The following is a 23,210-nucleotide window of genomic DNA, read 5'->3' as shown; positions in this document are numbered from 1 at the left end:
CACACACACACAAAATTTAAGATATTGGAAGGATGGAGGGCCTCTACCTCCTATATTTGAACAATTACCACATTCAAATGGACAATATTATATATAAAACTTGGTTAATTTATACCTAAGAATTATGCACTATTTTTTTTCCCCGAGATGGAGTTTCATTCTTGTCGCCTAGGGTGGAGTGCAATGGTGCATTCTTGGCTCACTGCAACCTCCACCTCCCAGGTTCAAGCGTTTCTCCTGCTTCAGCCTCCCAAGTAGCTGGGATTACAGGTCCCCGCCACCATGCCTAGCTAATTTTTCTATTTTTAGTAGAGACGGGGTTTCACCATGTTGGCCAGGCTGGTCTCGAACTCCTGACTTCAGGCATGCACTATTTTTAATACCACATCTCAAGAAAAGAGCCATTTTTGGCCTGGAATGATAAGAGAATTTAGACATGAATGAAAACTATGCAATATTAATGACATAAAATGATCACAAACTTTTTTCATTAAAGATAAAACACTAAGAGGAGAGGCCCTTGGATATAAACACAGGAAAGTTTGGATCTACATTTCAGAAATCCTTCGTTCAGTGACATAAGTTTATTAAATCTCAGTGTAGCTCAGTGAGACACCAAATTTTTTTTATTGTAAAATACACGGAAAAAAAAATACATGGAAAAAACAGAGTAACAATCACTATTGCTGAAGTTTTAAGGGCTACATAAAAGATAATAGTCACAATATACCATTTGAAGTCTCTGTTGAAAAGAGAATACTAACCTGCTTAGAAAAGGTCTCAAACACTGACAGCAGCACTAACTATAAGCCAAGCACCATCGCCCATTTTAATCTTCTATGAACACTATATAGCAGGTCCTGTTATTATCCTCATTTTATAGATTAGAAAGCCAAAGCCTAGAGTGGTTAAATAACTTTTCCAAAGATAATAATAAAAAGTTCTTACTCAGAATAAGAATTCTTATAATCAAATCTATAATGTAATTTAAGTCAAATCGTTTTCTTCCTTCCCTACACTGATAGGGGAGCAACAAAATTATTCATAGAACTAATGAGTTGGGCCAGGGGCGTTGGCTCACGCGTGTGATCTCAACACTTTGGGAGGCCAAGGCAGATGGATCACTTGAGGTTAGGAGTTCGAGCCCAGTCTGGGCAACATGGTGAAACCCTGTCTCTACTAAAAATACAAAAATCAGTAGAGTGTACTGTTGCTCACCTGTACTCCCAGCTACTCAGAAAGCTAAGGCAGGAGAATCATTTGAACTCAGGAGACAGAGGTTGCAGTGAACCCAGATGGCACAACCAGCCTGGGAGACAGAGCGAGACCCTGTCTCAAAAAGGAAGGAGAGGGAAGGAAAAAAGGAGGGGAGAGGAGGAGGGGAGGGCAGAGGAGGGGAAGAGAAGGGGCAGGAAGGGGAGGGGAGGGGAGGAGAAGGGGCACGAAGGGGAGGGGAGGGGAGGGGAGAAGAGGGGGAGAGGAGAAGAGGGAAAAGGGAGGGGAGGAGAAGGGGAGGGTAAGAAAAGGGGAAGGGGGGAGGAAACGGGGAGGGGGAGGGGAGGAAAAAAGAAGGGGAGAGGAGGAGAAGGGGAGGGGAGGGGAAAGGAGGGGAGAGGAGAGGGGAGGCGGGGAGGGGAGGGGATAAGAAAGAATTAATGGGTAGGGCCAGGCACGGAGGCTTATGCCTGTAATCCTTTTACTTTGGGAGGCCTGGTCAGGAAGACTGCTTGAAGCCAGGAGTTTGAGACCAGCCTGGGCAACAAAACATGACTGTGTCTCTACAAAACATTTTTTTAAGTTAAAAAATGTAAAACAAAAAAGAAAGACAAAAAAGGTACTAATGTGTTAATATCTGCAATTGCTTCACTGCTTAAGAATCATACATAGATTCAAACAAAGTATCCATAAATTATCTTGAGGGTGTAAAGGTACAAAAAACAAACAGCTAATTATTAGATATCTTAAAACTTTAGAAATTCACAATTTTTAAAACAATAACTTACCTTGGAACTAAAAGGCACTAATGAAATGCCTCATTCAGCCATATCTTTAAAAAGATTATCTTCAAAAACCAAATTATGTATTTGTGTCTTTTCAAACAGTTCAAAATGTACATGGTTTGACTTTCTCTTGATGACTCAAGGCTACGAGACTCTGCTTTGTAATTACTTCTATCTGTATTTTGTACGTTTTTCCCCTGATATTTTAAAGTATTTTTAACTTGGAGACAAGGTCATATTTCTGGAACATTTTTTAATCAACAGGCCCTCTTATTCTGTTACTACTCCCTTCATTCACAGAAAACCTATCACTAGAGAGTTATTCATTTCTTGATAGCCAGACATTTTTAATGACTTCCTTTAAAAAAAAAAAATCACCTCCTTCTTTGTAAGCCCAATTCCTTAAAAGGATCATGTACCTTATTTCTGTTAACTTAAATGCAAAGGAAAAGCCAACATTGCTTTGGGTGAAATAATGCAACAGATAAACCATATAACCAAGGATTTCTGTGATTCTAGTAAACAGTACCTTAGATGTCTAGATTCCAGCTAGCAACATCTGGTGAGATAGGAATTGACTTACAAGATGTAGCTTCATCTAATAAAGTATTTATACTTTGTTCTGGCACCACTTACAATGGATTAGCAGTAACACATTCTGGAACAGAGGAATCTATTTTTGTGTGCTTCTTTAATTAAAAAAAATGATTGGCAAAGAGAGACTTTAAGGCAGCCAACCCTTTTTTACTATCACAAACAAAACAAACAGTCTGTTTTTACTAATTACTGCAGGATATATACCTTTATGACATTAGGAATATAGAAACATCTTACCCGCTGTGATTGAGTAAAAAGGCTAAAACCCATTTCATACTTTTCCTCTTTCCCAGTCCCCTCAGGGTTATTTACAGTCTATATCTGGGGGTAAATTTTTATCATATATTCAATGTTCTCATATCCCTACAGATATATTTATTCATCAAAATAAAGTATACAAAACATTTTTAAATCCATAGAAAAATATAATAAAAAGTAAACTATAAAGACTCCAAGGCTTATGTGGCTAAAATATTAGACACAGATTAAAGCATTCACCTATCATTATCCTTTTGATTTATTTTCTAACTTTGACCATACTTTCTACTGCTCTGCTCCTCATTCTCTCTCACCCTCTTCTTTAAGAAAAGAGCAAAAACAGTTTATATGTATACAGACTTTATATATATGTATATGTACATATATTAAACAGTTTATATACATATATATATGCATGTATATGCTTTCAAGGGAGATGCTATATAAAAATTATACCGTTCATAGCTAGAATAAACCTTTTGCTAGAAATTAATTAGAAACTGAGTATCCAAAGCAGTACCTAAAACTAAACAATCAGAAAGGGCAATGTGAAATACAATTACCTTATTTTCTCTGAATATATTTAATAGCCATTAAAATCAATTCCTTACAATATTTATTTTATTCTTATTAAAAAGTTGAGCCCTATAATACATTTCAAGAACTCACGAATTTATTTTCATAAATACTATTGTCACATCACCAAAAACTGAAATATATACATAGCTTTAAAATATTTTGTGATATGATTGCCAATTGGCAGCAGTAAAAACTTCCTAAGAATTCCATCAGAAAGTATGGAGCTGGCAGGAGGGTAAGTACCAGGCCTTCAAAATATAGATATTTACAAAAGCAAGGTGTGATGGCCAGATTTTAAAATCCACCGTAACATCTAATTGATGCACTAGAATTCTTCTACCTTCATAAACTTAGTGCCACAAGAAGCTCCTGCATTTGGGAGCAAGCACCTTCTAAAAAAGGAACGAACAAACTACAGCAATCAAACTAGCGGTACTGTGCTAAGCCATATTATCTATTTTTGTCAACATTTTACCTACTCTTTCAGTTAGGGTTGCTTTCAGCTACTGTGGCAGAAATATGTCTAAAATTAACCTAGATAAATAAGGTTTTATGTCTCTCATGAAATGAAATTCATAAGTAAAGTAAGCAGTCCGGAGTTGGTGCTAGTTACTCAACAGAAACAAGAAGACCTAAGAGCCTTCTTCTGTCTTTCTTAGAAAAAGTCTCTTGACTTAAATTTGCTTATCAGCTACCATCCCTCAGTCAACACTATTTTTAGATCAATAAATGTAGAAACTAAATTTTAGGTGGGTCTTCCACGTGACTGCTAACGTCATCCCAAAATGACCAAAAGTAGAAAAAGAGACTAAACCAGAGAGCACATGCATTGATGAATAAGGAGGAATGAACAGAAGTTCCAAAGATTTCGACAATGAGCAGGGATAAAATGCAATACAACCAAACTTCACAAGCCTTGAAAACACAAAGACTTTCACATGAGGGTAAAGGAATAATAAAGCCCACATTAAGAGCCACTTCTCGCCGGGCGCGATGGCTCACGCCTGTAATCCCAGCACTTTGGGAGGCCGAGGCAGGTGGATCATGAGGTCAGGAGATCAAGACCATCCTGGCTAACAAGGTGAACCCCGTCTCTACTAAAAATACAAAAAATTAGCCGGGCGCGGTGGCGGGCGCCTGTAGTCCCAGCTACTCGGGAGGCTGAGGCAGAACAATGGCGTGAACCCGGGAAGCGGAGCTTGCAGTGAGCCAAGATTGCGCCACTGCAGTCCGCAGTCCGGCCTGGGCGACAGAGCGAGACTCCGTCTCAAAAAAAAAAAAAAAAAAAGAGCCACTTCTCAATGCTGAATTACATGGGATATGGGAGAATGAGCAATCTTCTGTTGAACAGGAAGTTTGCTTACCAGAATGAGCTTTCAAAGGCCAAATTTAAAAATTCTTACAAGATGGAAAAGTGTATTATAATAGGAGAGGGAAGTGAAATTCCAATAAAGAATGGATCTACCACACATAATACAATATCAATATGACACACTACTTGGAGGGAACAGATGACCCAGAAAAGCAGCTTGAGGGGCTATGGCTTACCAGAAAACTATGTCTAGACTAGTCTCATCTCCAGAGGAATGTCAGTTTCTGATAAAAGGACAACTTCTGCCTAAAATATACTCTCGTGAATCAGTATGTACTTTATGGTGGTAAGAATTCACTGAAAAAAAAATCATAAATAATACCAGAATATAAAAACAAAAGATGTCAAGAACATCTGTATAAAACACAGAGGCTAAATAGTGACTCCATGAGAATACAAAGGCTTCCTATGATCAATTCAGGTATGTGTGACTGAATATGTATGTCTCCAAGTGAGTGTGGTAACATCTGACTGAGCAGACTGACAATGAAAAGTACTTAAAAGTATATTTTTAGGTTTATCAAGAGGTCTCATTATACTTAGGTCAGTATTAGTTAATAACCAAGATAAATCATCAAGGCTATGGGTAGAAGTTCATAATTATGAGAGTTCAATTAAGTATGTACTTGTTGAATTGTTTTAAAATTTCAAGAGTCAGTGTGCATCCTTACATGTAATGCCTTCCTAAGGATGGTGGGTGATAGCCATCAAAGCAAAAATTCTTATTCTATTTACTCTGAACAGAATTTACATAAATGAGAAAAATAATAAAACTGTAATCTTTTCTACTTTACTTTGAAGATATGTAGTAGAACTACTATAAAAGAAAAAAGTTAATAAAATTTAAGAGGATTAAGAACTATTTCAAAAATAACAAATAAAAAGCACAAAATTGTTTTGAAAAGACAACGATGGTATGTATAAAAAAATACATAGAAAAATATTAAAGAAGGATAATAAAAGAATATATATCAGAGATTGAAGATTCTAATATAAAAGAAAAAAGTTAATAAAATTTAAGAGAATTAAGAACAATTTCAAAAATAAATAAAAAGCACAAAATGTTTTGAAAAGACAATGACTGTGTATAAAAAAAAAGAAAAATATTAAAGAAGGATCATAAAAGAATATATATCAGAGATTGAAGGGTAACAAGAAAGCGAGACTTTTTTAAAGTTAAAAAAATTTAAGTTATGCAAGTCACTAGCTAGCTATGTGAGTCATTAATTACCTCAGGCTTCAGAGACATTATTATATATAAAATGATAATTTGGAGAAGATGATCCCAATGGATTCAATATCCTCTAATATTTTTATAAATTTATAAACCAGATAAGCAAAACTTATGCACACAAGTAATGGTCATTATATTTACAAACAGTACTTATCCAATAATATAAGACACATATTTGGAACACCATAACCCAAACACTGGATGTAGTAATATTAAAGCAAGAATCGTGTATGTATTTCAACTATCTTCAAAATAAAGAAAATACATAAACTTTTTTGGCATTGACAATTCTTATTTGAAGACCAGAATTAGGTTTTCCTAATATAGTGAATCTGAAAAAAGAAAGCCTAAAAAAGAGAGGCATTAAATAAGGGACTCAAGAGAATGCAGGCAATTAAGTCGCAAAATGACATATAAATATAATTCTTCACCAACACAACAGATTTAAAATAGGGCTATATTCCTATTAGTAACAGAAATTATATTTTATACATTAAAAGAGTAAGGAATTAGTGTATTCCAAGTTCCTAAATTAAACCATAAACATTGATTACAAAATTAGCATTGAACTATATAGCTACATATCATAATGAAAAGCTTTACCAGTTATGGTCACCAACTATTAAATACCTATGTTCAAGAAAAACATTATTAGTTTCCTTTGGTGACAGACATTGAAAATAACAAGGCTAAATTGAGCTCACCAGCCAGAATAGAAACTGAAATTTGAAAAATAGAAATCTTAATATCATCTTTGTTGAATATTTGAGGAGAAACATGGCTCAGTTTAAAATCTGAGCCATGTTTCTCCTCAAATATTCAATAAAACTGCACTCTCTTTTACCTTCCATGTATTGAAATACTGGAAAGGACATATTTTTCTCAAAACTGAGAGGTGAATTAAGGAAACAAATGAAATAAAATACAAATGTGAAAAGAAGCCACTTTCATTTTTTTCAGTGGCTTTGGTTTAGCATCTAAGTGATAGCATTGTTCAAAAGAATTTTGTTTACCACCAGATTCAGAAGTCAAGAGAAATTATCCTTCCCATTTGAAGCAGCCGCATAAAATAGATGACCTGCTGGACTCTTAGATAATGTCTGGGGCCCTGGGTAAAGTAGGCCTGTGGCAGAACTTCTCCTTACCTGATCTCTGTGGACTTCTGATGTGGAAGGCTCAGAGCTGAACATTAAAGCACATGTTTTACAGGATTGGGAGCCGAAACCAGACTCCAGCTGATCCTTACAATGAGGACATTTCATTTTCTGCTCCATCTCAAAATTTAGCTAAGAGATAGTGACAGTGGGCCCAAGGAAGTCAATTTACCAACAAACCTTCCTGTGTGAGGCAAAAGCAAGATAGAAGAGAGGTGCAAATCTGGATCTCCTATTTCATACTATCTCCCCCTGTTGGCATGGAAGTATACTAGTCAGTTCTGGATTAAAGGAACAGATACAGCCAACAAATGTTGCGTTTTCGAGCAACAAACGGAAAATCCTTGTACATTAAGTAAAGAAACACTATCTAAGAAATAAATCTCTGTTCTACTTGATTTTTTTTTTTTTTTTTTTTTTGAGACAGAGTTTCGCTCTTGTCGCCCAGGCTGGAGTGCAATGGCATGCTCTTGACTCTCTGCAACCTCTGCTTCCCGGGTTCAAGTGATTATCCTGCCTGAGTCTCCTGAGTAGCTGGGATTACAGGTGCCCACCACCGTGCCTGGCTAAATTTTTTTGTATTTTTAGTAGAGACGGGGTTTTACCATGTTGGCCAGGCTAGTCTCGAACTCCTGACCTCAGGTGATCCGCCCGCCTCGGCCTCCCAAAGTGCTGGGATTACAGGTGTGAGCTTACTGCACCTGGCCTTTGATTTTTTAAATTAGATAAATAAAATACCTGATTTTATTCCTAAGAAACATATAGAAGTCTTCTTATTTTAGGTTTTGGATCTCAAGGTCTCTGAGAATATACCTCACTTTCAAGCACTTCTTGAAACAAAACCTTGCAGATAGCTGTGCTACAAAGCTTTTCTTAATCCAATGTGTTTTAATTTTTTTTATTTTTTATTGAGGTATAACTCTCCAATACTTTATAATTCTTCATTCAAAGGAAAAGAATATAAATTATGTGTAAATGATCTCTAAGGTCTCAACAGAAATAAAAATTTTAAATTTCCTTGCCACAAAAACCTACTACACTTAACACAAAATGAAGTGTCAGGGCTAGAGAGGAAGTAGAGTGGGATACTCAAAACCATAAATGTTTAATCGGAAAGTAAGGCTCCACTTTTGATAACCTATTCTATAATGATTTGTTAATTGCTTTATAAATCCCTGCTTTATTCATTCATTTTTTTAAACAAAGATACAACTACTAGATGCCAGGTATCATATTCAGGCATTGTACAGAACATTCTTTCTAAGGGACCAAAGTTCAAGAAACTTTATGAAACCAAATAAGAAAAATAGAAAAGAGCAAGAGAGTCAAAAGTCTTACTCCGTAAAACTTCCCTGGGTCACAATTCTGACATAAACATCTCCTTCTTTAAAGTCTTTGGCTCCCTTTATAATTAGATGCAATCAAAAAAAAATTTTTTAATTTTCTTGCCTTTTTGCATAATTTCCTCTAGTTTTCTTTTTTGGATACTCACTTTTTAAATTTTATTGTCCGCAACAACCATTCTTTATATCACGTCCATCAAAATAAATCTCATTTTGTACACTGAGAATAATTTTATAAAATTTTATATTTAATAAACAATAAAAGACAATATAGGGTAAAGAATTTCTTAGGAGAAAGCATTTTCTCGGCATTTTAGATGGATTATCTCATTTAACTCCCCACATTAACCCTATGAAATAGTTTCTGTTACAAACCCTAGTTTACAGATGAGAAAACTGAGGTACAGAAAGTTTAACTTGCCCAAAGTTATATAGCCAAAAAATAGCTGATGCCACATATTCAAATCCAAGGACTGTGGATCCAGAAACTATGCAACTTTGTTCCAGAAACTATGCAATTAACTACTATACTGTTTCTTAGATTAAGTCACTGCTCTATTTCACCAAAGGTATTCTTTTGCCAAAAAAGAGTCTCCAAAGATACATTAACAATTTATTAATTTTGTTTTTCTACTTAAGTGTTGATATATTCAGTAAACAATGCGTATAGTTTCCCAGTATTCACTCCCTGCACTCATTTTTCCCTAACTGTAACCATAATTTGAATTTTATACCAGAATAAGTTTATATTTTCATTAAAATAAAATTATATTTTCCTATATTTTATTCCCTGATTGGTTTCACTTATTTATTTTTTAAATATTCATTAAGCATTAATTAGGTGCCAGGCACTTACCCAGGCTCATAAAATCATAAAACATTAAATCTGGAAGCAATTTTCAACATTAAATGTGTTGAAATCAGTGCTTACAGTCAAAGAATATAAAATCTTAAGATGCTGGATTTGTTACTTGTTCTAGCACAGAGAGAAGCTAATTTTGGTGTTTCTTTGTTCATCATCTGTACTCACTGGTTTTGCTCTTCACAACTAGAAGACTTTAATGTCATCTAGATACCTCACTAGGAAGACCCTCCTCTTTCAGATCATTTATAAAGACAATAATCACAACAGATGTTGTACTAATTCCCTAGGGCTGCTGTAACACAGTACCAGAAATCGGGTGACTTCTAACAACAGAAACTTACTCTCCTACAGTTCTGGAGGCCAGAAGTCTGAAATCAAGGTGTTAGCCAAGGCCATGCTCCCTCCAAAATTTCTAGGGGATAACCCTTCCTTACTTCCTATAGCTTCTGGTAGCCCCAGGCATTCCTTTGCTTGTGATAGCATAATTCCAATATCTGCCTCTGTCTTCTCATGGCTGTCTTCCCTGTATGTCAGCCTCTCTTCTCTTCTTATAAGGGCACCAGTCACACTGGATTAGAGCTCACCCTAACAACTTCATATTAACTAGTTTACAACTACAGACCCTATTTCCAAAGTAGGTCACATACACAGGTATTTAGTATTACAACTTAAAGATATCTTTTGGGGGCACATAATTCAAACCATAACAGATGTGATCATCAATTGCTGGGGCACTCTCTTTATACTTTTCTAGTCAAATAAACATCTATTCCTACTGTTTGATTTCTGATTTTAAACCTGTTGTTGGGCCATTCTAAAAGCCTATTTCCCATTTCAGCAGTGACTTAACATTTAGTAACCTTTGGTAAAAAACATTGTCAACGTCTTTTCTAAAATCGAAGTAGCTTATTTTATATACCCTATTACCTTCATAAAAAAAGACTCTAAGAATAATCGGTCAGGTATGATTTCTTCCACTGATATGTTCCCTATCCCCTAGGAGATTATTTTACATAAATATTTGATAACTCTACTTGTTGATACGAGTTCTAAGAGCTTGTTCAATATTCAAAAAATATTTACTTAGCCTCCCCTACATAGCAAGCACTGTACAAGGCAGAGGAAATAGTAGTAAACATAATGAAAGTGCCTACCTTCTGAGAGCTACAGTTTAAGGAACAAGCAGGGATTATAGAAGACAGATAATAAAAACATACACACATACATACATACATACCATAATCAAATGAGTTCATACATACCAAAGTACATATATTAGTATTTAATGCATGGAAATATTTAGAACTAACCTACCACAGAGTAAATTCTAACCAACAAAATAGTAATAATTGTAGTAATAGTAGAAATAGTAAAGATACTAAAGTAAGTGCTTTGCAAGAAAAGGAAAAAGGCAATAGGATAAATAATGATGACAGGGGTCTGATAGGGCCTATTACAGCTGAAGTAGTCAGAGATCTCTCAAAGAAGTATCATTTGACCTGAAATTATCAAAAGAAGGCAGTTGGTCATACGAAGATCTGGGGAATAAGTATTAAAAAGAGATGAAACATAAAGTCCCAGAGATAAGAAGACACTTAGTGTACCCAAAGGACAGTAAGACCTCAATGGCTGGAGTGTGATGGATGAGGACTGGTAGGAAATAATGAGGGGAAGTAGGCAGGGATGAGATTATGTAATTGAGTTCATGGTGAGGATTAGAATTTCATTCTGGTTATATAGGAATACCAATGGAGGGTCATAAGCAGGAGAAATATAAAATCTCATTTATACATTACGATAACTCAAGTTATTATACAGAAAATAAAATTTACAAAGGGCAAGGGAACAAACAGGTAAACTGGCTGAAGTAGTTCAGACCTTAATTTATGGTGAATTTACCAGGATGATCACAATGGAAATGTTATCAAGAGGTCAGATTTGGAATATATTTTGGAGGTAATATCAAGACAACTTGCTAACAGGATTTGGAAGAAAGTGAACACAAGGGTGATTCCCAAGATTTGGACTTAAGCAATTGACTGAAAATACCCTAAGAAGACTGTGGGAATGGCAGATTTGAGGGTTTTGACAAGTTAAATTTAAGATTATCAGTGTAATTACTTTATTGTATGAAGTGACCAAATTTGAAGACAATCTTTATAAATTAAGTTCACATTAAAAATGTCTTATTCATGCAAATGAACTGTCATACCTTATGTATGACACCAGATATAGCAAACAATTTAAAATAATTATAACAAAAGCATTCCTTCTACATATTCAAAAACCAAGTTGCAGGGTGATAACTTTTGGTAGGTAGGATTAAAAAAGAAGGCCTTCACATGTAAATTTTAAAACTATATGCATTTAATTTTATTTTTAAAACATAAGGTGATAAAATACCTCAATTTCAGAAATTTGTTTTTTCTGATACTGAGCTCCACCTGCTGGTAATTTCTTACCTTCAGGTATTACATAACTAAAAAGAACTAAAATATCTATAATAAGGGGACTGTAGTCTCTGAAATGAAAATACTAAAAACTCTACTTCTTTATAGCTACCATTTATTGAACTTAGCTATATACCAGGCACTGTACTAAACATTTTTGCAAGCATTATTTCACGTAACTTTTAAGACAATTCTATGAGGTTTCTATGACTTGCCACTTTTAACCAGTAAGGAATCTTATCTCAGAGAGGTTATGTGATTTTGCCTATGGTGATACATTAATAGCACAGAGGATTTGAACTAAAGTCCCTCTGATTACACATCTGTTGGCTTAGTAATCATGCAACACTGATTGTATAAAATAGAAACTTCATTGTCAAGAAGTTTCTATTTGAGTTTGAATCTGCCACACCGATTCTGATAAAGTTCCTTAATCTCTTCAAGCTTCAATGTTCTTGTCTGAAAGGCTGGAATAACTCCCTTGCAGGACTGTTTGCCAGTAGTAAATAAAGTATGTTATATATCTAGCATACTGTTTAGCACACAGTAAAGAGTAATTAAGGATTAGTTCTTTTAGTAAGTTTTGTTAAATGACACATTAAAATGACTTAAGATATGAGGCCTTATTGACAAATGTCAATGAATCAAATTAAGTATCTCTCAAAGAATCTTTTGGAAAATTTAAAATTTTCCATTTTAATAGCTACTAAATAAACTTGTTTAGAAAAACCCTCCCTCCAAAATAGGACATGTTTCATACAATAGCTAAATTTTCTGTACTCTTTACTCATCTCTAAAACCTATAGAAATACTGATCATCTATAAAGCCATAAAAAAAAATCTACAAAGTGAAATCAAGAATAACCAACTAGAATTACAAGATCCAACTCTGATTTAAAAAAAAAAAACAAGCAGAAATAGTAAGATATCAATGAGTAAAATGTAACATGAAAATTATAAGCAAAAGTTGAAGTTTAACATTGAAAATTACCCTTCAATCATCAGTAATATTTTTTAATCCTAAAAAGGGAAGTGATTTCAATAACTTGTGGGAGTTATAATTTCACAAATATAAACATTATTTTTAACACAGAAATTATCTAATTGTTTTAAAATACAGCTTCAAAATTTTTGAAACTCAGCTAATGAATTAACTAACAAATCCTACTAATTTTACAGATCTAGCCTCAAACAAGTATAGAATATCTGCAATCGAGAACTCTCCTCAGAATACAATTGAGAACTCCACACAGAATACAATTATCCATTGCATATCCAAACTTTAGCTGAGAGAAATGACACTAAGAAAGGATTGTTAAAAACACACCCAGTCCAAGGCGGGGCGCGGTGGCTCACGCCTGTAATCCCAGCACTTTGGGAGGCTGAGGCGGGCGGATCATGAGGTCAGGAGATCGAGACCATCCTGGCTAACACAGTGAAACCCCGTCTCTAGTAAAAATACAAAAAAATTAGCCAGGCGTGGTGGCGGGGGCCTGTAGTCCCAGCTACTCGGGAGGCTGAGGCAGGAGAATGGTGTGAACCCGGGAGGCGGAGCTTGCAGTGAGCAGAGATCGCACCACTGCACTCCAGCCTGGGCAACAGAGCGAGACTCCATCTCAAAAAAAAAAAAAAGAAAAAACACACACCCAGTCCACTACCCATTATTCTAAGTCTAGATTATATTATTGGATAAAATCAATTTAGAGACAGCTGCATTCTTAGGCCCACATAGAATGATTTTGATGTCATGGCCTCCACTTTCACTGATGGATTCTAGATTCTGCAAGAGATGGTCTTATGAGTCTCCTTCCTACATTAGCTTTAGTGATATTGTCAAGGGCACCGCCACTAAGAACGTCAGAATGAAAGCCTCCAGTAAGAAATTCTATCAGGGCTCAATACAATGAAAAGCTTTGCTTCCCCTGCAATGTGACATGCTTTCTTTTATTTAAGAGTGTTATATGACTTTATCTCCCTTTTCATTTTGGCCTTTGGAAAGCTTAGAGACAAAATAGTAGCTCTAGGGTAGTAACTATACATACATCCTATGAACTATAGTCTTGATATCCTGTTACAACTTACATTGTTCCTGGTTCTCATTTTATTTTATATTTATATTTTCCTGAATGTTGTTGTCATTAGCTACCTCAAATACTCTGGGGAGTAAGGCAGGAAATAAATAAATGAGTAAATGAACACAAGCATGTAAATCTTTTATAAAAAGCCCTGCAATGTGAGGTTTACTTATTCAGGGAGCACAGTCTTATCTCTGAACAATTTAAAACAAAAGCCTGATTACCAAGAGTTGGTGACATCATGCTCCTTGGCATCTTCAGACTCCCAGACATGGTCATTCTACTGAGCTACCTTTCTTAGAGGTGATAAAGCTGAAGCTTAAAGTATCACCTTTTTCATACTTCCTGTTAATCATTTGTTTGACTCTAAGGAAAATTAGAAGCAAACAAGAAGCTTCCCTTGTGTTCTTTGGTTTTTAGTTATAATCCCAAGTCACATCATACACCTACTCAGCAAGAAATCAAAGCTGTCTCTGACTTTGGGAAATGGGAAAGAGGCAACATCCCCCAAAATCACCCAAGAAAACAATAAGGAAGAGCAAACAAAAATTAAATTATTTCTACTTAAACTGACTTATCTGAAAAAAAGTTAAATTAGACTTTCATATTCCTGTGGAGAACAAAAGACCAGTGTTTCATTGGTCTAGTGTGACTAGTCCATGCTTGTTTTACTCCCCATATACCAAATTATCTTAAGTGTTTACAATAATTACTCCATCACCTTAAAAGCATGGCCTATCTTAAAAATAGAAACAATTATGATTTAATTCCTCAGCACAATTTTAAAATTATAATGAGCAACCACTAAGTTAAAATGAGGCCTCTAAATGCTAGAAAGCACATAGGTATTAATTTCTGTTGAGTTAAATAGCTAGCAAAAAAGTCAAAATCAACGTATCTACATATCATCTTTGTATCATAGTTCTCTGGAATAGAAGAAAGCCTCGTGGATTGTCATTATTATTTTATAAAGACTGGCAATGAAATTTTCTGATTAAATACATGTTTAATACACAAAGACAATTATATGAATGAAAGATGATACAGAATACTGTATCACACTAGAAAATGCTAACTGATCAAAATATAGAATCCTATGTTCAATTAATTTGTATTAGATTTAATACAGGAATTAAATCCTGGAAAACATGATCAAATATAATATGAAATTGTTGGCAGTTATCCAAAAAGTCTATATGATTCTATTATACACAAAGGGAGAACAAAAACGAATCTCAGTAAGAGTTTTCATGATTATTTGAATTTCATCTTATGCCATCCAACCCATGAGCGAACATGATAGAGTTTTCTGGCAATTTTCTTTTATAATAACACACCTACACTGGGGCCTAATAAATAGCAAAGACTATGAATATTTTATAAGTAATAAAATTGGAAAAGGTTCACTATATCAAAAAATACAGCTATCTGTAATAATTATATAATACTGTGAACATAAGCTATATCTAAATACCCACAACATAATTAATAGATAATTGAAGTAACTATATATATAACGCAAGTCTATACTCATCCAGGCCCCTCCCGATCCAATGCTACAATTAATTACATTTCAGATTTCTGTTTGGCAGGGGGTCGGGGGGGTACCCAAATTATTAAGGTAAACATCTAAATTTCCCATTTCATTTTATCTTATTAAATACCTCCCAATAAAAACTTTGGGAATCAACAATTTGGAATGAATCAAGTAAGTACAGATAAACAAATTTTCTAAAAATTTTATACTAGGCTGTTGATGTAAAACTTGAATCAAGTATAATAATGAATTTTCCTAAGTATCTGAACCACAAATTGGATCCATATGTTAGATTTTATTAAACTATAAAGGAAGAGTTTTGACACCTTTAGGTAAGATTGGTTCAATAAATATTTTTATTTTAAATTCCAAATATTTTTAATTTGAGAATGCAAATATAATCAATGCCTTTTGTCTATGAATTCTTACCTTGTACAGCTCCAGTTTAAAAAAGAAACAGAGGAAAAGTTCACAAGTCAGTAGTCAATAAAAATGGAAACCTGGAGAGTAAAGCAGGAGAGAAGAGGGAAGTGGGTCATATCATAGTACCCTGTGTCAAGCAGGGGAGTATGGGAAAAGTGAAAGAAGAGGGAATGAAAAGCTTTTCTTACCTCAGACCCTCTTCTTCATCTCCTTTTTCCTACTCCCTTTTTGTTTGTCCTTTTATCTGCCTCTCATTCCTGTATTTTCTTTCTCTTCTGTTCTTTACCTTTCATCTTCCTCACCTTTCTTTACTGATCTTCTTCCTTCCCTCACCTGTTTCTTTTGCTACCTTTCTCCTGACACATATCTCCTTTTCCCTCTTTCTTAATTCTTCCTTAATGGCCTTAGCAACAAAAAACTGGGGGAGAGAAAAGAGTTCCCATCAAAATTAAATTTTAATTAGGACAGAGTAATTTATCCCCTTGCCAAAAAAAAAAAAGTCCTTTGTGGAATAAGAACAACGCTCAGGCTCCATAAAAACTGTGCCTTATTATAAAGAAACAAACAAGAGCCATTTAACTACCAGAGTTTCAGAAAGTAGTTATTTGTTTTTTGTTTTTGTTTTTGTTTTGAGATGGAGTGTCAATTTTGATTGATGGGGCAATCTCGGCTCATGCATCCTCTGCCTCCTGGGTTCAAGCGTTTCTCCTGCCTCAGCCTCTCGAGTAGCTGGGATTACAGGTGACACCACCACGCCTGGCTAATTTTTGTATTTTTAGTAGAGACGGGATTTCACCACATTGGCCAGGCTGGTCTCAAACTCCTGACCTCAGGTGATCCAACTGCCTCAGCCTCCCAAAGTGCTGGGATTACAGGCATGAGCCACTGGGCCGGGCCAAAAGTAGCTATTTGTAATGACTAAGGTTCTGGAGACTCTTAGGTTAACCAAATCTCTCAAAAGACAACTAAAGCTTTTTCTTACCAACTGGATTCCATCTCTACCTAACCTTCTTAGTCCTTTGTTCACTGACTTCTGAAACCAGGTGTCTTTCATAATCCATATCCTACTTTACTTCAACTCCTTCCAAGTTACATGCCTAACCCATATCCTCCTTGTCCTTGCTAAACCCTGTAGCCACCACCATTCCTGGCTATACCACAGAAAAGAAATGAGTTCTTCTTTCCAAAATTTCAAGAGCTTTTCCCAAGCCTTCTCCTCTATTCTAAATTATTTTTTCCTATATACTTATCTTAACCTAAATTACTTTTGAAAAGGGAAGAGCTAGGCTTACACAAATTTGTGAAATGGGCTAAATTAATCATCAGCAACTTCTCACCTTCCCTTCCAGCACTATGCCCCTCACTAGCCTGCCTATCAGAATAAAGACTACTTCAAAGTATCATTTCACATGCTTGTGCTATCTACTTCCATGCTGATTTCACCGCTCCTGCATTCCTCAAGCCCCTGAATTGAGGTACATATTAATGTCTGATGATGCTTAACATGCTACTTCTCCAAGAGGCATTCAGAATTTAATAAGGATCTTTAAGACAAAAATCCTTTGCCCAAAAGTCATTATTTTTCAACCACAAGAGATCTGAAGAATACAACACTTTGTTATCAAAAATAATAGCGAACTATAGTTTCTCAGTAAAAGAGAAAGAATAAGAGGTACATAGTCCATAGAAGAAACGTAATAATAATGGTTAGAGAGTCGGTAACAGAGAAAAGTAAGTATGGCATATATGGTTTAAAAAGCTCCTCCTTCTCCCAGATAATTCTGAAAAGATAGCCATAGAAAGCTCAACACACAATCTAACACATACACACACACACACACACACACACACACACAGAGAGACAAGTTAAGCATGCTTTCATTTTGGTCCTATGCTAAGTTAGAACAATTTTTTTCTAAATTTTTTCATTGAAGTACAAGATGAATATAGCAAAGTTTACAAATCAAAAGTGTGCAGGTTATAAATTTTTGCAGATTGAAAAAGTCCCTGTAACCAGAACACAGATCAAGAAACAAGTCACTGTCTATACTCTAGAAGTGTCTTGTGTGGCCCCTTTCAGTCACTACACCCACCCTACCAAGGGGAACCACTATTCTAAAATCGAATGTCATTGATTACTTTTACATTTTTTTGAGCTCCATATAAATGGAATCACAGAATATGTAATGTCTGGTGTCTTTTCACTTAGCATTATTTTTGTAAGATTCAGCCATACTGCTGCATGTAGTTGTAATCTGTTCATTTTCATTACTGCGGAGTATCCCATTGGGTAAGTATCCCACAATTTATGTATTCTACTGTTGACTGACATCTGGACAGTTTCTAGCTGGGGTCATTATAAATTGTGCTCCTGTGAATATTCTTGTACATGCCTTTTTGAGAGCATATGTATGTATTTCTATTGAGTATATATCCAGGAGCAGATATACTGAGTCACAGGGTGTACACATTTCCTTCTTTAGTAGACACTGCCCAATAGGCTTTCCAAAGTAGTGGTTGTGGCTAAGATATTTTAGAGGACATAGTTCATTCTGGCCCTGCTTAAATAACACAGTATGCCAAATTTCTACTTTGCCTATCTATAAATGATAGCTATGTTAGTCAAGACTATCACTCTGCATCCTTTCCTTTCTGTCAGAATTATGAGTTTATTACTTTATCACACAGATACTAGACTAATTTACCCCTATACATTAGCTTAGTGTTTTGTTTTTGTTTGGTATTTATATACAAGGAATATGTAGAGTGAGTCACACATTTAACTAAAAACTGCAACCTAAATGCTGATGGTTTCATTTTGCAATATCAAGCATGTTCAAAGAAAAATTTATCGAGTACCTACTCTTTGCCAGGTACTGTGTTAAGCAGTAAAAGTTTATATAGAAAATAATTATAAGAGATGCAGTAGGTATAATAATAGCATAAATGAAACCATTTGTGGATATTTACATTCTCAATACTCTCATCTACCTCTCAGACACTCCCTTTCATTTACTGAGGTATTTGTATTTGGCAAGTAGCTTAAGATTATTTTCTTTCCAGCTCAACCCCCAACAATATCATAAATGATTCTTATACCCAAGGCCTCAAAGTTCCTTGGATGGCTTCATCTCCAAGAGTACTCATCTAGGCTCAACTTCAGTAACTCATTCTACCATTTTTAACTTGGAACTTACCAGTCAGAATTTCTTCACTTGTAAGATTTCAGACCACACTTGATAGCTACTTACTCCAACTACACTTGTTCATAACTGAATTGATACAACCAGCCCAGGTAATACCCCCCAAATTTTTTTCCCAGGCCTTCAATCCTTATATCTTCCTTTCTTGTTTTGCTCTTCTTTCATAGCGTCATGTCTGTGATTACAACCAGTATCCATTCAGATTAGTAAGAGTTCATAGGGCCACGCACAGTGGCTCACACCTGTAGTCAATCTCAGCACTTTAGAAGGTCGAGGCAGGTGGATCACCTGAGGTCAGAGTTCGAAACCAGCCTGGCCAACATGGCAAAACCCAGTCTCTACTAAAAATACAAAAATTAGCCAGGCTTGGTGGTGGGCACCTGTAATCCCAGCTACTTGAGAGGCTGAGGCATGAGAATCTCTTGAACCTGGGAGACAGAGGTTGCAGTGAGCCAAGATTGTGCCACTGCACTCCAGCCTGGGTGACAAGAGCGAGACTCTGTCTCAAGAAAAAACAAAAAAAGTCCATGGTAGGAGCCAGACAAGGTAAACCCTTTAGGCAGGTCACTTAAAGAAATTTGTTGTTTAATCCTAAGCAAAAACAACAAATCTGGAGGCATCATATTACCTGACTTTAAATTATACTACAAGGCTAAAGTAACTTGTATTAGTCCGTTTTCACACTGCTAATAAAGACATACCTGAGACTGGGTAATTTATGAAGAAAAAGAGGCTTTACTCACAGTTCCAAGTGGCTGAGGAGGCCTCACAATTATGGTGGAAGGCAGAAGGCGAAAGGCACTTCTTACATGGCAGCAGACGAGAGAATGAGAGCCAAGCAAAAGAGGAAACCCCTTATAAAACCATCAGATCCTGTAACAATTATTCACTATCACAAGAACAGTATGGGGAAAACTGCCCTCGTGATTCAATTATCTCCAACCAGGTACCTGCCACAACACGTGGGAATTGTGGGAGCTACAATTCAAGATGAGATTTGGGTGGGGACACAGCCAAACCATATCATAACTAAAACTGCATGATACTTGTACAAATATAGACACAGATCAATGAAACAGAACAGAGAACCCAGAAATAAAGCCATCTACCTACAACCAACTGACCTTTGACAAAGTTCACAAAAATAAACAGTGAGGAAAGGCTACCCTATCCAATAAATGGTGCTCTGAAAATTGGCTAGCAATATGCAAAAGAATAAAACTAGACCCCTATCTCTCACCATATACAAAAATTAACTCGAGATGGATTAAAGACTCAAACGTAAACCTGAAACTATAAAAATTCCAGAAGAAAACCTAAGAAACACTCTTCCAGACATTGGCCTACACGAAGAATTTATGACAACAACCCCAAAAGCAAATGCAACAAAAACAAACATAGATAAATGAGACTTAAACTAGAAAGTTTTTATACATCAAAATAAATAATCAACAGAACAAACACACAATCTACAGTATAGGAGAAAATATTTGCAAGTTATGACTCTAACAAAGTACTAATATCCAGAATCTATAGGGAACTGAAACAACACAAGAAAAAAATGAACAACTCCATTAAAAAGTGGGCAAACGACATGAACACACATTTCTCAAAAGAAGACATACACATGACCAAGAAATATATGAAAAAAACCTCAACATCACTAATCATCAGAGAAATGCAAATTAAAACCACAATGAGATATCATTTTACGTCAGTCAGAATGGCTATGTTGAAAAAGTCAAAAAACAACAGATGCTAGTGCGGATGTGGTGAAAAGAAAATGTTATGCACTGTTGGTGGGAATGTAAATTAGTTAAACTTCTATGGAAAACAACATGGAGAATTTTTCAAAGAACTAAAAATAGAACTACTACTATTTGACCCAGTAATCCCACTACTGGGTATTATATCAAAAAGACACCTACACTCATATGTTTATTGTAATACTCTTCACAATAGCAAAGTCATGGAATCAACCTAAATATCCACCAATAGTTGATTGGATAAAGGAAATGTGGTATATATACCCTATGGAATACTATGCAGCCATAAAAAATAATGAAATAATGTCCTTTGCAGCAACTAGATGGAGCTGGAGGCCATGATCCATCATCCTAAGTGAAAAAACTCAGAAATAGAAAATCAAATACCGTATGTTCTCACTTATAAGCAGGGGCTAAATAATGGGTATATTGGACATAAAGCTGAAAATAATAGACACTGGGGACTCCTAAAGGGCGAAGTGGGAGAAGCGGAGGGGGTTGAAAATTACCTATGTGGTACAATGTTCACTATTTGGGTGATGGGTATACTAGAAGCCCAAACCCCACCATTATACAATATATTCATGTAACAAACCTGCACATATACCTACTGAATCTAAAATGGAATTAAATTTTTAAACAAACCTTTTTTTTAAAAAAAGTAAAAGCCTTCCAAAGAATAGGGAAATTATGCTAAGTGTGGTCAAGAAATTTGGTGTTTCACCTGAAAGTCATAAAAAGCCACTGTACCCATTCTTGTTGAGACCACTATAACCAGACTGGCTGATGTGAAATTTTAAAAGATAACTTTGGCTAGAGTAGAGAGCAGGTTCGAAGGAAGCCACTGTAGATGATGATAGACAAGTTTAACAGTTCATTAATTTCTAATTGCATTTCTTAATCATTATTTTCATTACTAGTGGCTTGAAAAGTTTTTAAATATCTTACAAAAATTTATATTTAATCTATTATGAATATCTTATTCATAATCTTTGTCCATTTTTAATTGGTGCATTACTTTTTTCTAAACCAATTTGGATGATCTACTTATATATTTACAAACATTAATACTTTGTCACAAGAGCAGTACATATTATTCCCAGTTTTTATCCTGCATTTTAATTCAGTTTATTTTCCAACATAGGAAAATGTTCAGTAATATTTTCTTCTAGTAGTTTTGTGGCTTTTTAAAAATATTTGAGTATTTAATACATCTGAAATTTCCTCTTTATGTAGCATAAGTTTAAAATCAAAATTGATATTTATCCAACATAAAAAGTTTTGTTTTCCTCAAAATATTATTTTATTTATATATAAGTATATATATGATACATATATAAATACATATACATTGGAGTTTACTTCACCGAAGTATTCTTCTCTATTAGTCTGTCCGAAGATTGTTTCTTAACTATGTGGTACCCTTCCAGCTGTTCAAATGTTTTTTTTCTAACATCACCAGTATGACAGCATTAATTCAAGTTTCAAAAAGAAGACAGATTTAAACATCTGAATTTGTTTATATTCTTCTTACAGTCCTCTGACAACATATACCATATAGTTAAATATAGAATAGAAGTGTAACTGATACTTTGGAATGAGTTGTTTCTCCTTCCAAGGAACAAATGATTTTTTTACACAACCTTGAGAATTTTCAAGAAAACTTAGCCTCTACTCTCAAAGATCTCTAGATACACTGTGATAGAGAAAACCTTTCCTTAGTTTCAGATCACATCCTTCATCTGTGATTTGCGAAGTAAACCGATGATTTAAAAAATTAACAGTGGATCCTTAAGCTTTTAAATATGTATAATGAGAAACAACTTTCTGCACAATACTATAATAAAAAAAAGGATTTAAAATTCATCTGGTACCAAATGAAGCAATAAATCATAACATTCACACATTCTCTTTATAAAAACTTTCAGTTAAAGAAATTAATGTCATAAAATAATTATCAAAATTCAAGACACAAGATTTTGGAGACAAAAACATATAAATCCTTCACTACATACATTGTCAAAAATCTACCCACAATTAAGCCGCCAGATAGAACATCTTCAAACATAATTGTTTTGTTTGTTTTCTAACACAGGGTCTGGTTCTGTTGCCCAGGCTGGAGAACAGTGATGTCATCTTGGCTCACTGCAACCTCTGCCTCCTGGGCTCAAGCCATCGTCCCACCTTAGTCTCCTGAGGACTACAGGCACGTGCCACCACACCCAGCTAATTTTTTACTTTTTGTAGATACAGGGTTTCTCCATGTGGCCCAGGCTAGTCTAGAACTTCTGAGCTCAAGCGATCCACCCACCTTGGCCTCTGAAAGTACAGAGATTACAGGCATGAGCCAGCCA

The 23,210-nt window shown here is 35.2% G+C and overlaps 1 protein-coding gene across 22 annotated transcripts in view; it reads right to left on the bottom strand.

Annotated features, from left to right (window-relative positions):
- Positions 1–23,210, bottom strand: part of FER (FER tyrosine kinase) — a 448,945-nt gene that overhangs the window by 264,867 nt on the left and 160,868 nt on the right. For 2 of the 22 annotated variants that reach the window (XM_011543276.3, NM_001308031.2), the window contains exon 1: positions 7,186–7,384. The exons of the other annotated variants lie outside the window; for them this stretch is intronic. In XM_011543276.3, the coding sequence (XP_011541578.1) occupies positions 7,186–7,314 (129 nt within the window). In that variant the 5' untranslated portion in view covers positions 7,315–7,384. Of the gene's footprint in view, positions 1–7,185; positions 7,385–23,210 lie in introns of those variants that run through there. 22 annotated transcript variants of the gene reach the window in all.

Source organism: Homo sapiens, chromosome 5 (assembly GCF_000001405.40).
Source record: "Homo sapiens chromosome 5, GRCh38.p14 Primary Assembly".
In the NCBI taxonomy this organism is placed as follows: domain Eukaryota; kingdom Metazoa; phylum Chordata; class Mammalia; order Primates; family Hominidae; genus Homo; species Homo sapiens.
This window is presented reverse-complemented; position numbering and strand designations above follow the sequence as displayed.